The sequence below is a fragment of the Homo sapiens genome, chromosome 6 (genome assembly GCF_000001405.40).
Source record: "Homo sapiens chromosome 6, GRCh38.p14 Primary Assembly".
NCBI classification, from domain to species: Eukaryota; Metazoa; Chordata; class Mammalia; order Primates; family Hominidae; genus Homo; species Homo sapiens.
In genome coordinates this window covers 113,873,384-113,888,815 of record NC_000006.12, presented here as the reverse complement: position 1 = coordinate 113,888,815, position 15,432 = coordinate 113,873,384, and the positions used below count along the sequence as shown (strand labels likewise).

At 37.2% G+C, this 15,432-nt stretch overlaps 1 long non-coding RNA gene across 1 annotated transcript; it reads right to left on the bottom strand.

The window, feature by feature from the left end:
• Positions 1-3,029: 3,029 nt before the first annotated feature.
• Positions 3,030-15,411, bottom strand: LOC124901382 (uncharacterized). Its single transcript, XR_007059716.1, has 3 exons — positions 14,993-15,411; positions 3,604-8,042; positions 3,030-3,493 (listed from the first exon to the last, which is right to left on the bottom strand). It is a non-coding gene; the product is annotated as an uncharacterized LOC124901382 (long non-coding RNA).
• Between the last annotated feature and the right edge of the window lie 21 nt (positions 15,412-15,432).

Genomic DNA, 15,432 nt, shown 5'->3' with positions numbered 1-15,432 from the left:
ATGCACTTCTGGGTTTCACTTGGAAGAAAAACTGAAGCTCTACCTGCTCTCCTGCCTCTCAGATGAATGAATGTGGCCCTATGGGCTCAGTCTACCCTGCTACCTTTGATCTTAATCATGACTCATAGTGACTTACTAGGAAAAGCCTCTGAGCTCCTAGATTGCAAGGCATATAGTTCCCCAGTTTGAGGTGAGGCTGGGCACCTGTCTGCAGTTGAGCACACATCATTTGTGGCTCACCTCCTGATGTTCCTGGACTGGGACCCTTTCTCTGGGTAGAGCCAAATATGCAATGCCTGCCTTCTTCCTGCTCCCCTTATCACTCACCTCCTCCCCTCACTTAATTTTTCTTTGACCTCTAACTCCATACCTCTTCAGTCTGACACAATGGACCAGATACCAGCTTTGGAAACAAACAGATTTAGTTCAAATCTGGCTCTACCACTGAACCAGTGTGTGGACTCGTTGTTGCCTAGAAGAGTTAGCTCCCGCCTCCCCTCCCAATACCCTAAGCCTAAAGGAACCCATGTTACTGCAAAACAGATCTTAATCTTACATGTGCACATAAAACCAGTCCAAAATTATATTTAAGACACTCAAATACAGATTATCTACTGGAGAGGGCATAGGACCTAGGCTATTGTGGGGCAAAGACGGGAAGTATACTTTCTGTTGCATATTTTTTAAATTTTAAGTATTTGAATCATTTGAATATATTATCCACGCAACAAAAGTATAAGAAGAGAAATGAATAAAAATACATCTTAGAAAATTTTTATGCAAATCAAATGACTTTCCCATAGATAAAATATAATAAATTTATTTTATTTAATATAGAGTTTGACAAATAAATTTACTGAAATAGCCACAACTATGAAATGTAATGAACTGTATTATATCTGAATTATAATCTAAGGCAATGAAGAAAAACTGTATTATTTCAATTCTCTTTCCTTATTCCATCGAATGTGTGATAAAAATTTATTGAGTAAAATGCTAACGTTTATAGAGCACTTAACAGTTTACAAAGTCTTTCATGCACTCCAATTATGATCTTCCACTCACAGAAGCAGCCAGGGCAGGCATGATTATTTCACTTCCCAGCTGAGGAAATAAATTCCCATTTGTCCAAAGTCACAGAGCAAACAAGTGGCAGAATTGGAATGTGAATCCAGTTCTCCTGGCTCTGAATGAGGCCATAATGTTTCCCCTAATTTCAGGCAGAATTCATACATTAACTGTTTAAATTTAACTTAAGAGACTGGAAAAAGAAAAGTAAAATTTAAATAACTATCCTATTGACATCACCACCATACTCAAACATACTATGTTTTACACCTCACTAGTTCAACTTTTCTATTCTGAGACCACCAGTGTATTGCTCAGGAACACCTGACACCTTCTCAGACCGCAAAGTGGACATATTTATGGTGCATCCCTACTTTGAATGGAGTCAAGAGTAGAGAGTTGAAAACAGATGGTCTAGGTAAGAAATGAAAATCAAGGCCAGGAGCAGTGGCTCACGCCTATAATCCTAGCTCTTCGGGAGGATGAAGTGGGTGGATCGATCATGAGGTCATGAGATCGAGACCATCCTGGCTAACATGGTGAAACCCTGTCTCTACTAAAAATACAAAAAATTAGCTGGGCGTGGTGGCACATGCCTGTAGTCCCAGCTACTTGGGATGCTGAGGCAGGAGAATCACTTGAACCCAGGAGGTGGATGTTGCAGTGAGCCGAGATTGCACCACTGCACTCCAGCCTGGGTGACAGAGCGAGACACGGTCTCAAAAAAAAAAAAAAAAAAAAAAAAAATCAAGACTTTTCTTACCCTGAAGAGCATGATGAACTAATACTGATACTATACGATGACAAGATATGCTATGTTGCACATTGGAAAAAGAGTATTTTTACATATTTAGTTTATTTAAGGGAAAATGGTAAATTGAATTATGTGTGCACCATGGTATGAAAAAATGTGAAAAAGGAGAATTTCACTGTTTTGTTTTTTTCTCCCACTCCCACAAGCAATTCTCTTTTTAGCAGTAACTAAAGAAAGCTAAACATTTATTTTTATCTTTTAACTGTTCCATTTTGTCTTGTCATCATCTTTTGATTGCATATAACTGAGTGTTTTTTTTTATTTAATCAGTAAGTTTAGGGCGATCTAACTGCAGGCAATCTAAATGCATGCATGTGCACACACACACACAGACACACACACACACACACACACACACACAAGAACTATTATTTCATAGCATAGTTGTTGAAGGGCTTTGGAATCAGAAGGCCTGGATCATGCCCTGATATTTAATACCTGTGAGACTTTGGGCAAGTAACTCAGTCATTCTAAAGATGACTTCCTACCTTAGAATGATGTGACAATCCGCTAAAAAACATAGGTAAGTAAAACTGTAGTTCTTGGAACATGACATTCATTTGCTCACGTATTCACTCATCATTTGTTCATGAATTCATTCGATGACTAGTTACTAGCACCTATTTCATGCAGGCCCTGAGCCAGGTCCTGGAGATACAGCAGGGAACAAAACAGAGCAACTCTGGCCCCAGACAGTTTATATTTTCTGAAAGGAGACCAACAACAATATGTAAGGTAAAATTTTAGAGTGGCAATTAGTCTATTAAAAAAGTAATAGGTATAGGGGACAGTGTTAGGGGTGCAGTTTTAATTTGATTGGAGAAGGCTATGCTAAGAAATAATGGGTTTAATTCAAGTTAGTTGTTAAAATTATTATAATTGTTGCTGGGCACAGTGGCTTCCACCTGTAATCCCAGCATTCTGGGAGGCTGAGGCGGGCAGATCACTTGAAGCCAGGAGTTCGAGACCAGCCTGGACAACATGGTGAAACCTTGTCTCTATGAAAAATGCAAAAAAATTAGCCAGGTGTGGTGGTGCATGCCTATAATCCCAGCTACTTGGGAAGCTGAGGCAGGAGAATCCGTTGAACCTGGGAGGCAGAGAATGCTGTGAGCTGAGATCGTGCAACTGCACTCCAGCCTGGGTGACAAAGCAGTACTTTGTCTCAAGAAAAAATTATTATAATAGTAATATATTCTATATTCATATATCGTATTTGCAAGTCTTTGTGAGTAAACTAATGACTGTGATATAATTATAATAGCAAGCACAGAAGATCATTAAACACACATGTACAATGGCCACGCTTAGCTTTCCTCTCTGAAAAGAATTTAACATCCTAGAATTGTTCTGTGGGTCCCTATTATTAAACACTTAGTTTACATAAAATTTTATAGCAGATCTTGTATAAAAGTTATAATAATATTATGGTGAAAACTAGCCTGAATTTACCAGGCAAATGAAGAAAATAGATCTAATTCTTCAAAATAAATGCTTTCTGTAGTGTGGAGTGTCCATTTTGCAGTTCCTTGACTTGGCAAAGTTACTTGCTCCTGGTCTGAAGCTTCCTTTGAAGCAGTTATTACATCTGGAGAAAACAGGCCCCTGTACCTGGGGTCAGGACATAGTGAAAGGTATTTTATTACTCTTCAGAAAATAGAATCTTTATTCAGATTCCTTTTATTCTCTTGGCCCCACTAGTTCTTCCCTTTATTTCTTACCTTTTAGTTTATTTTCTTTCTACCTTTTCCTTTCTTCTTTACTTTCTTCTCTCAGATTCCTCCTCTTCTTCCTCTCTTCCTTCCTTCTTTTTGGTAGCTCTCTTCTCAGTGCAAGCTATGTAAAGAATAGGAAGCATTTTACCGTCAAGTGAGAACATTTCAGACTACACAGAATGAGAATCTTCATAGTCGATAGGCTCCCTTCACTCAGGAGAGCTTGAATCATCTGAAAGCTTTGCCCAAATCTCCAGTAAGAGGAGGGGTGCCATGCAGCAGCTGTGTGTCTCCAAGAATTCAACCTCTCTGAATCTCAGTTTCCTCAACAACCGCAATTACACATTCTGGTGGAAGTTTGTTTTATCTATTAGAAATACTAGATGAAAGTGCTTGGCCCTTTGGCATTGCAATGCGGCAACTGCTGAGTGATGTCAATGCATGAAATTTGAAAGGATGGTGATCGATTCATTACATGTTCCAATAAAAATATTAATGAGTTATTTTTAAAAAGTGCTTGGCATTCTATAGGCACTAATGAGTTATTGTTTCCGCACTTGGAGGTGTTCTCTGCAGTTTTCTCTTCGAGCCCAATCCTTCCTTTCTGTCCTCTCAGATGTGTCTGTTCTTCTTCTCAGTCTAATATAAGCTTTTCCTCAGTTTCTTTGGGTTACCACAGCAGCAGGTCCTTTCTCTCTGATTCTAAAGATCTTTGCCTAGGTCTGTGCATGCATGAGCTGATCACTGTCTTTCTCAGTTAGTTGTTGGCAATGCCAGGGCAGGAACCAGGGCTCCTTGACTATGGGTGTGCGGCTTTTCCTTCATGACACCATATGGCCTCTGAGAGCTGGCATTTGATTTTCATTTAATTGAAATTCTCGTAGAAGATCATCAACAATACTATTAGCAGGAACCAGCTTTTTAAATGGTCAGAATAATCCTTGTCTGTTTTTGGAGATGTTGTCTTGCTCCTAGAACAGCTGTGAGTGTGTGAACTCATCAGTGATGTGGACACTGCCCAAATAGTAATCAGCAAAGAAATCTTATAAAATTACCAACAGATTACTGCTTCAGCCTGCCAGCACTTTCAGTGCCAGCCAGCCTGTTTTTGTTTTTCTTTGTTTGTTTTCCACTGCAATAGGTTGCAATTTAGAGTAAGTCTTTGTGGACTATGAATGAAAATAGAGTTTCACACTCAATTGATAAGCTTTGACAAATGAAAAAACACATACATGGTATATTTGGGACAATAAACAGGAACCTAGAAAACTAGGGATTCATCTCTCCCTTTCCTTTACCTTAATAATATGAGACAAATGTAATAAAACTCTGTCCTACCCCCATCATAATGCTGTACATGTAAGGAATGCCAAAGAAGTATATGATATTTCTTGCCCTTCATGGTGGATAAATGTCAGAAATTGTATCACAATGACCATGGTACAAATAATTCACCAGGACAGAAAAGAAAAAGAGGTTAAAAGTTTCTATTTGCATATATTTCAATGCATTTTGAAGTCCAAAGGATACAAGTTACATAACATATAAGTTAGATGCATTTCCGCAAATGCAAAAATAAATATCTTAGTGCTACCTCTGCTTGCTGTTGCTCACATTCTCAATTTTCCCCAGTGTCTCCTTCAGCTATCGCTCAATGACTTCTCTAAGTTACATTTTATAGATTCCTCAAAGAATCGTTGCTTCTGTGAGGTTACCTAAACCAGGATCCCATAAAATTAAGACAATGAGACAGGAACTGCTGAGAGCACCGCAGGTGGCAGAGCAGCTCTCAAATCACCAGAGGTTGATGCCACCAAATGGCTCCAGGCCTGAGCTTCTTCCACGTGCTCCTACCTACTTTCTACCTCAAGGGAACTGTTCATTTTTTAAAAAAACAGGTTTACTGCTATTGCTATCCAAACAGCTATGCACTATTTTTTCTACTCTATTCTATGTCCTTCCTCTGGATGCATTTTGAAATTCTGTTTTGAAAGCATTTAGATATTTGGAGAGCATAAAGTTTTTAAGATTTAAATCAGTTTTGTCTTCACTAGTGATTATTTCCTTTTATTTTTAATTGACATAATAATTGTACATACTTATGGGGTACCATGTGATATTTTGACACACCTACACACTGTGTAGGGATCGAATCAGGGTAAATAGCAAATTCATCACCTCAAAACTTTATTTCTTTGTGTTGGGAGCATTCAAAATCCACTCTTGTAGGTTTTGAATATAAATTATTCACAAAAATTGAAAGTAAATTTTTGTTAGTTATAGTCATTCTATAGTGCCATAGAACACTAAGATTTATTCCTCCTATCTAGCAGTAACTTAGTATTTGCTAATCAACCTCTGGCTAGCTCCCTACCACCCCACCCCTAACACACACAACTTTCCCAGCCTCTAGGAGCCACTATTCTACTCTCTACTTCCATGAGGTCAACTTTTTTGCCTTCCATAAATGAGTGAGAACATGCAGTATTTGTCTCTCTATGCCTGGATTATTTCACTTAATATAATATCCTCCAAGGTTCTCATTTTAACCAGACAACATGTCCTGGTATAGAATGTGAATTTAGATTTAGCAGGTCAACTTTTATTTCAACACTGTGGAGTTTGGAAAGCACCCAAGAAGTCAACAAGAAATCAAACATTTTAAGAAGCCTGGGGCAAGTGCATTTAAGTCCATTTTCCCATCTATCACCAGGGCACTGGGCGAGGCCACACAGGCTCTGTCCTGCACAACTTCAAGGAACATGCAAAGAGGCAGCCTGTGTATAACATGACGAAGGATGGACAAATTAACTGATCTTCAAATCCCTTTGAACTGAAATTAAATCATTCTGACAATGGATACTCCAGTATTTCTCTGTATCTTCTTCACATTTGCTTTTTAAAATGTCATTTTTTAACATATATTGTTTTAATAACTGTTCTGGATTAAATTTGGTTTAGAAATAATTTTCAGTTTGTTTGTGTGCTGCTTTATGTAATAAAATGAGATAGTAAATATTTAAAATGTTAATGAGTTTTAAAACATTATAAACCTCAGGAAAATCAAAATCTAGTAACTCATCTGTCAGGCCATAGGCACGGTGATTTAAATTGAGATCACTAACAAATGTAAATGGATTATTAGATGTCAAATACTTTTACTTTCCATTGTAATTCAAATTGAATGTGGGTAAGGCTTAAACATCACCATAAACACTATTTGCTCTAGAGTGAACCTCCTTATAAGAATTACTGGTCTTGGAACTCAACCAAGGGAACTTAGTTACTGAATTGCTATCAGGAGACCCAGGGTGAAGTGATTCTCCCTGTTAAGTGACTCTAATAGTGGTAGAATCCAGCTCTTTTGTTTTAGGCAGTAGTATATTTATGTCAAATCATTATACTTCATATCCAAAAAAGATGCAGGGAAGCTTCCAAGTTTACTAATGCCATCTTGACTGACATTGAGTAAGTTCTCCTTTCTTTGCAATTTTCAGCTCAATAGTATCTTACAGCGCAATGTGCCAGGAAGTCTACCAACTTGAAACTAAGCCTTTCCTGCTATAAATTAAACGTGTTTCCTCCTTGGTACAAACCAAATGCTTAATTATCTCTCTCCTCTTTCACAATCCCTTCATAGAGGCCAGGGCTCTTTGATCTTGCTATTTTTTTCCACCTCTAGAAATGGGCATTATTTTAAAACTTCCACCAGTTTTATGGTTCATCTGGAGTCTACACCAACTTAAAAACTGGGCAGAGTATTCACGTTGATGTCTGAGTGTTTACTATGTGCCAGGATTAATGTTCACAATATCGTGTGATACATATATTATTACCTCATGAATCCTCACAGCAATCTTAAGAGGTAGTTCTGTTATCCTCCTTTTACAGGTGAGGAACTTGAGGCAGAGAGAGGCTAGGTAAATTGCCCAAGGTCACGTTGCGCAAATTCCCCAAAGCAGAATGTGTGCTCATAACCATTGCTCTGCACTCCTTGTCCGTTACTTTAAGCTTGCTGGTTTGGTTACCCAATTCCTAAACACTGATGACCAACATATACTAAATTGCCTCTGGAACATTATTCTGGTAAGTAGTATTATTGAAGTCTAAAAGCAGGTTTACCCATGAAACACATTCAAGTAATCTGAGAATTTATGCTCTAGGCCTGGCGTAGCAGCTCACATCTGTAATCCCAACAATTTGGGAGGCTAAGGCGGGAAGATCACTTGTGCCTAGGAGTTTGAGACCATCTGGGGAACACAGCAACACCTCATCTATACCAGAAAAAACAAAGAAAGCCAGGAATGGGGGTGTGCACCTGTAATCCCAGTTACTTGGCAGGCTGAGGTGGTAGGACTGCTTCAGCTTGGGAGGTCGAGGCTGCAGTTATCCACGATCGTGCCACTGCCCTCCAAACTGGGTGACAGAGCAAGCAGAGACTCTGTCTGAAAAAAAAAAAATGAAAGAAAGAGAAAGAGAGACAAAGAAACAAAGAAAGAAAGAAAGTAAGTTATGCTCTAAACACATCTCCTCATCCAGCACAATCTCCTCCCAGACCACTCCCACCCAGTTTTGTGGATTTCTTTTTTCAAATGATGATTTTGATATTCCACCCCTTTTTCATGTTGAAAATATGGTATATATACACCAAGGAATACTATATGGCCATAAAAAAGAAGGAGTTTGTATCCTTTTGCAGAGACAGAGATGGAGCTAAAGGCCATTATTCACAGCAAACTAATGCAGGAACAGAAAACCAAATACCACATATTCTCACTTATAAGTGGGAGCTAAATGATGAGAACACATGGACACACAGAGGGCAACAAGACACATGGGCCTTTGAAAGGGTGGAGAGAGGGAGGAGGAAAAGGATCAGGAAAAATAACTAATGGGTACTATGCTTAATACCTGGGTGATGAAATAATCTCAACAACAAAACCCCCAGGATACAAGTTTACCTATGTAACAAAGCTGCACTTGTACCCCAGAAGTTAAAAGTTAAAAAAAAAGAAAACATTGAATTCTACTTTAACTATCAGATATTGTCTGTGCAGCATTTAAAAATGTACTAAAGCAGCCAAGCCAAGTGGGAGATAAAAATAATAATAATAAAGGTAAAAAAATGTAATGTACTAAAAATATGGAGATTATATAGAGATTATATAGAAAACCATAGAAAATTTAGAGTAGCATTGGTAACTGAAAAGTAAAATAACAATCAATAAAATGATAAATATAAAAATAATATATTATTCTGAATTGTTCATAAGATAGACTAAAAAGATTTCCTAAGGAACAATTTTCTACACATTATACTCAGCCACTGCATAGTATAAATGTGTGTTTTCAGATAATTGGGACAAACCTAATAACTTTGAGATAATAGAAATCAAAACAAACTGAAATCCTAGTTTGAAGGCTAAGACTATAATTTCAGTAAGTCTAAATTTAGTGCTTAATCCACTAAGGAGTGTCCTTGGCAGTGAAATTGAGATACAGTACACACCAGTGACCTCTTCGTGTCACTGGTGAGCTTTCCTTGGCTCCCTTCTACCTATCTCTTCAACGGGTTCCCACTCCAGTGCTATCGGTGTGCTTGCAAAGGCAAGAGCTAAAGAGAACAGGTTTTTTAAAAAAATTTTAAATCACAGCTAATCTTTTCCCAAGACAAACAGTATTCAGTGTGAAAAGAAAGCTCCTGGTTAATTTATGTCGCTTAGAAAACTGAAACAGATAAAGGAATATCCTTTAAAAATCACCACCTGACTGTAATATAATCAGGAACTGGGTAAATTCAACAATAGAAGGAAGTCAAATAGACTGACCTTTCCCAAGTTGTTTTAAAACTGACATGTGAGTGGAAGTTACTGGTGTGGTTTTGTTGTCGCTTCTTGTTTTCCTAAGGAATTTGGAATCTGAGCAGGGAAGTCGCCTGTTCTTTAAACTAGCAGTAGAACAAGAAAGAATACACCCATCCTTCTGGGGGATAAAAAAATTAAGTTATTCTAGCTGGAATGCACCTCCCCAAAAGAGATAGATAAAATCACCAACCAAGAATTTAAACAAGAAGTATTATTTATCTCTTACTGTTGGCCCATACTGTCCTAAATATTGGTAGTGATGAAGGGAACAATTGTGCAAAAGGAGTATTGAAACACAGGAGTTCATAAATGGTCTCTTCTCTCAAGAAGTTTACAGTCTAACTCAAAATTGTTGTATTTTAAGCATGTTTGGAAGTATTTAATTTTTTGCCTCATTGTTATTTGTCATTCTAAAAGTTACTGCTATAATGGCTACAGAAACTGTGGTTCCTGAGTTTTCTGACATAGAACCAATATATTGTTATATGTTACATATTATTTTGTCTTTTCATATAAATACATCAACAAATTACCAAAATGTAGGGGCTATTGCTAAGCCATCTGCTTTAATTTGGGTTTATAAAATATGATCACTAGAACTATGCCCCAGGTTTTTAAGGGTGCCTATCCAATTTATATTTTTCAGTCAAAAAGTAATGTCTCCAAATAAAACAGCATCAATAGCTTTCCAACAGCCAGTATTAGAAGCAGAACTCCATGGTCAGTCATTCTAGTCTAGGTTGTATCTTCACCCAGAATTGTTTCATGTTTGAAATCTTCAACTTCAAACCAATAATCAAATTATTTTCTGTTCATCTAACTTCACTACCTCCTCTCCCATTACCATCTCTGAGTCTGTATGGGTGCTGCTGAGTTTCCATTGTCTCCTGTTTCTTCTGGGTTTCCATGCAGGACTGCATGGTCAATGGCTTTTAACATCTCTCACATCAGTGTCCTTTCACATTCCTTCATCCTCCTCCCACACCTGTGCTGTTCATCCTCAACCCTGTGTCAGTTCACGATCTGTTTCCTCTGTAACTGAGTAGGCAGACAAAAATCTCATCGCTGTGTTGATGACAGTGTGGCAAATTCATGTATTTTTTGACCTGGCTATTCTACTTGTTCTTACTTTTTAAATTCATTTCCTATGGAAATGCTGTTAACCTTTTTCATTCTCTTCAAGTCTTCCTCTTTATTCTCAAAAAATCATATTTCAGAGATAACTTTGCCTCTTCTTTCACATAAAAAATAGAGGCTACATGCAATGGCTCATGCCTATAATTTTAGCACTTTGGGAGGCTGAGGCAGGTGGATCACCTGAGGTCAGGAGTTCAAGACCAGCCTGGCCAACATGGTGAAACCCCATCTATACTAAAAATACAAAAATTAGCCTGGGGTGGTGGCACTCTCCTGTAGTCCCAGTTACTCAGGAGGCTGAGGCAGGAGAATTGCTTGAACCTGGGAGGCAGAGGTTGTAGTGAGCTGAGATCACACCACTGTACTCCAGCCTGGGCGACACAGCAAGACTCTCTCTCAAAGAAAAAAAAAAGAAAAGAAAAAAAAGAAAACCATCAGGTTCGATCCTTTTCAGTCTTCTTACTGCAACTTGCCAATATTTATAGGTCATCATTTCACTCTTCAAGACCTAGCTCAAAAGCCATCCCTTTGTTGTGGCCACCCTGGATCATTCTCTTCCTCTGTCAGTCACATTGTGAATATAATCACTATCAAAATGATAGATATTTTAGGAATGTATTTCAAATTTCCTGCTTTCTACCAAATATCTCTTAATTTTTAGTTCAGGAAATGTAGCCTATAATACTTGTTATAATTTTTAGAGTTTAACTTTTAAAATAAGGTAATACATTCATATTATTCAAACTTCACCAGGCACAAAGATAAATTAGTGACCATTCTTACACTCTTGTGCTTAACTACACAGTTTCTTGTGTATTTTCTAAAGATATTAATGTAATATGTAAGTAATTAATCTTGCATCTTCCCCTGTGCCCATACTTTTTGCATACATACATAGTATATTATATTATGTACGTATCACTATACTGTACTGATATACACCCATCACTTAACAATAGGTACTAGAAATGATTCCAAATCCATACATAAAGTATTACCTCTTTCTATTTTATAGATACATAGTATAGATTAGAGACTGCCACAAATTCCTGGCCACTTCTCTAATTAAGAGGTAGAGTCCACTTTTCTCCCGTTGTATCTGGGCTGGCTCTGAAACTTATTTTTCTCTATAGAATGAGGTAGCAGTGATGCTGTATAATTTCTGAGATCTACAGCTTTTGAGATCTTAAGATATCTACAACTTTATGTCCTGAGAAAACTCTCTGTTGGAAGCTAGCCACCATGCTGGAAGAAGCCCAAGCTATGAAGAGAGGCCACATGGAAGAAAGCTAATGCTAAAACCCTCCAGTTCAACAATCCATGCTGATTTCCCGTCCAACAGCCAGCACCAACTAACAGGCATGTGAGGGAGCCATCTTGGATATTCCAGCTGATTTAACTCTCCAGATGACCCTGTGATGACCCTAGTGGACATCACACAGAACAGAACTTCTCAACTAAGCCCAGTCACCCATGGAATTGTGAGAGAAAATAAATAATTGTTATTGTTTTAAGCCACTATGTTTTGGGTAGTTTGTGACTATCAATAGATAACCAAAACACATAGTAATCCGTCATGTGGGTATATGTTGTTTTATTTGACCCAACCTCTACTGATGGACATTCAGGTTGTTTCTCCTCTTTTGCTATTATAAACAATGTTGTAATTAATAATGATGTAAATATGTCACTTTTCATGTGTGATTGTATCTGTGGGATGAGTTCCTAAAATTAGAATTTCCGGATATAAGAGAATATGCACTTACAGTTTTGATAGATATTACAAAATGGTTATCTGGGAGATTTCACTAACCTACACACTTCCAGCAGTAATATATGAAGTCACTATTCTCCTACACCTTGACTAATACTATGTTATTAAACTTTCTGATTTTTGCTAATCTAATTGGTAGAAAATGGTATAATTTTAATTTGTATTTCCATTTTTAAAATAACATTGATCATATTTTAATATATTTAAGAGCCATTTGTATTTTCTTTTTTCTAAATAGTCTATGTTCTTTGCTTGGGTTCTACTGGGATGTTGGTTTTTTAAAAAATTGATTTATAAAAACTCTTTAGGGAGTTTAATCATTGATTTATGAGTGGCAAACATTTTTTCTCAGTTTGTCATTTTTCTTTTGGCTTTACTTAGAGTATTATTTGCCATGCATAACTTTTTACTTTTATGTTGTCAAATTTATCAAAATTTTAACTACTTTGATAGTTAGAAATTCTGCCTTGGATTCTTCTAACACTTTTTCTTCACATTTAAATTTTGTTGTATCTTTTAACACTTAAATCTTCTCTGAGATATGAATTTCCTTTTTTAGGTCATTTTCTGTTATATTTAATTATGTTTAAAATCTTGCCTATTGCCTGTGTGCTTCTCAAGGGCAGGAAACCTGTCTTTTTCATGGCTGTGTCCTGAAAACCTAGCACAATGGATCATATATAAAACACTCTCAGTAAGTATTGATACCATATGAAATAAACTTTAGGCCTGCACTGGGTTCCAAAGATAAAGGCACTCTTTCTGACATCATCTGGGAGGAATTTGTTGACCACGAACAAAGAAGCTACATTTTGAACAAGCATGTTTGAAACTCTAGAACTTAAGGCTCAGCAATACAGAAATATTTTTGAGTCTTTTTTCTCCAGCTATATTTACTGTCTACCATGTGTGACTTCTCTCTCTTCTGATGCTAATTAATTAATACCCCACACGCCAAACCCTTATTTACCACCCTGCACACACAGATCTCCATTAGAAGTCTGGAATGTTGATGGTTGGGTAGGTATTTTAACCTAGCTTAACCTCTATCACAATAATTAATTTTAATTGCTTTTCACCTTGGTTACGTGATCCCCCAACTCCATGGAAATGATATAACCTTGTAAAAAATAAAAAATAATAATAAAAATCTTGACATGAGCTTCTTAAAGAAACAGACGTGAGATTTGACTTTAGCATTCAGTAACCAAAGGTATAAGATACCCAAAACAAAGGAAATGTGGTGCTTTCACTGCTTGTTTTTAGTGCTGCCACTTCTCTCCCAAGGAATGTCGCTGCCTTAAACTCTGTTCTGTGGCAGATACTTCCTGCCCCTATACATCACCTTCAGATGTACTATATGATCAAGATCTTTACCATCTGGCCACTCCTCTAGCTCTAGTGTTCCAAATGGCTTACATTTTTAATGGTTCTTTGTGATCTCCCTGATATAGAAATACAGGTATGCAAGGACATGTGCACTCATAAAGAGTCTATCTTCCTTCTTTGCATTCCTGTGTGCTTTAGCCAGAAGAGATGTTTTAGGATGGTGGTACAGTGAGAAATTTATGAAACAAGGGCCACTGGGCCACCAAGATGACTATTTATGGTTAAGTGGAATCCAAAAGGATGATATGGGGTATCTCTTTCTTTACAAGTAGTAGCCACTGCCATTGAACAAATATTTAAATAATACAAACAATTGTTAATAATTATTTAGCTCCTCTTAAATGAGTCACGTGTCCCCTTTCCATGTATAAAAACCGTATTTATACTTTGTGTTTCCCTTGTGCTACTCAAAAGATCACAATAAAAACATTCTCTTGAAAAATTTACTTAGTTTATTTCACTGACTTAAAAAAAATTTTTTTTTACTGCATTTTATGCTAGATTCACACATTTCACATGGTGGTTGAACATATAAGGAAAGATATATTTTTACCACGGCTTGATAACATTTCTTCAAGATGCTATCCTCACAACAGATTATATTTATTCAGAAAATTTGAAGTGATCTATTTGAAATTACCTCTAGTAGTTTGTTAAAATGTAACAGATCCATTTATAGACTTTTAAAAGATGGAATTTTTATAAAGGTACAGTTGTTTGTTTGTTTTTTAGACAAAGTCTTGTTCTGTCACCAGGCTGGAGTGCAATGGCACGATCTTGGCTCACTGTAATCTCCACCTCCTGGGTTCAAGCGATTCTCCTGCTTCAGCCTTCCGAGTAGCTGGGATTACAGGCGTGTGCCACCACACCCAGCTAATTTTTGTAAAGATGGGATTTCACCATGTTGGCCAGGATGGTCTTGATCTCCTGACCCATTGATCCACCCACCTCAGCCTCTCAAAGTGCTGGGATTACAGGCGTGAGCCAACACGCCTGGCCAAAGGTACAGTTATATGTGAGTTATACAATAGATTCCCAATAGGGTAAGACCCTGGGGGAGTAACATCACTAGAATCCGATGTGTCCATCTCAAATAGTTTTTTACTGAATTGATTATGTCTCAATAATATTTTGGAATCTTGATAAAAACTTACTTGGCTAAAGTATACCATTAATATAAATAAACAATATAAATATAATATAAATAATATAAATAAACAATGGTATTTACCATATTACCTTTACCATGTGTATTTGTATCCAAAACACACTCATTTATACCATATCAAGGCATAGCAACTCCAGTTTGTTTGAAGAACATTACTTGATAAACAGCAACGAAGACAGAAGAGTTGATGGAAATTCTGATATTACTACCACCTCCTTTCCCTACTATTGCCCTTGTAAAACACAGAAATAGTTTGTTCATGTGACCAAATTGAAGTCTTCTTTCACTCAGGAATATAGAATATCCAACATGCGTTGTGGTGCTTTAAAGATGGTCAAAATTCTTTGACATTATCTCATCAAGAGGTGGTGTCAATGTCCTTCTTTCCCAGAATCTGGGTGGGCTCAGAGACTGCTTTGACCAATAAAGCATAGTGGAAGTAAAACTGTGCCAGTGTCTCGGGCTCAGGCTGAAAGAGACTGGCAGCTTTCACTTCCTGTCTT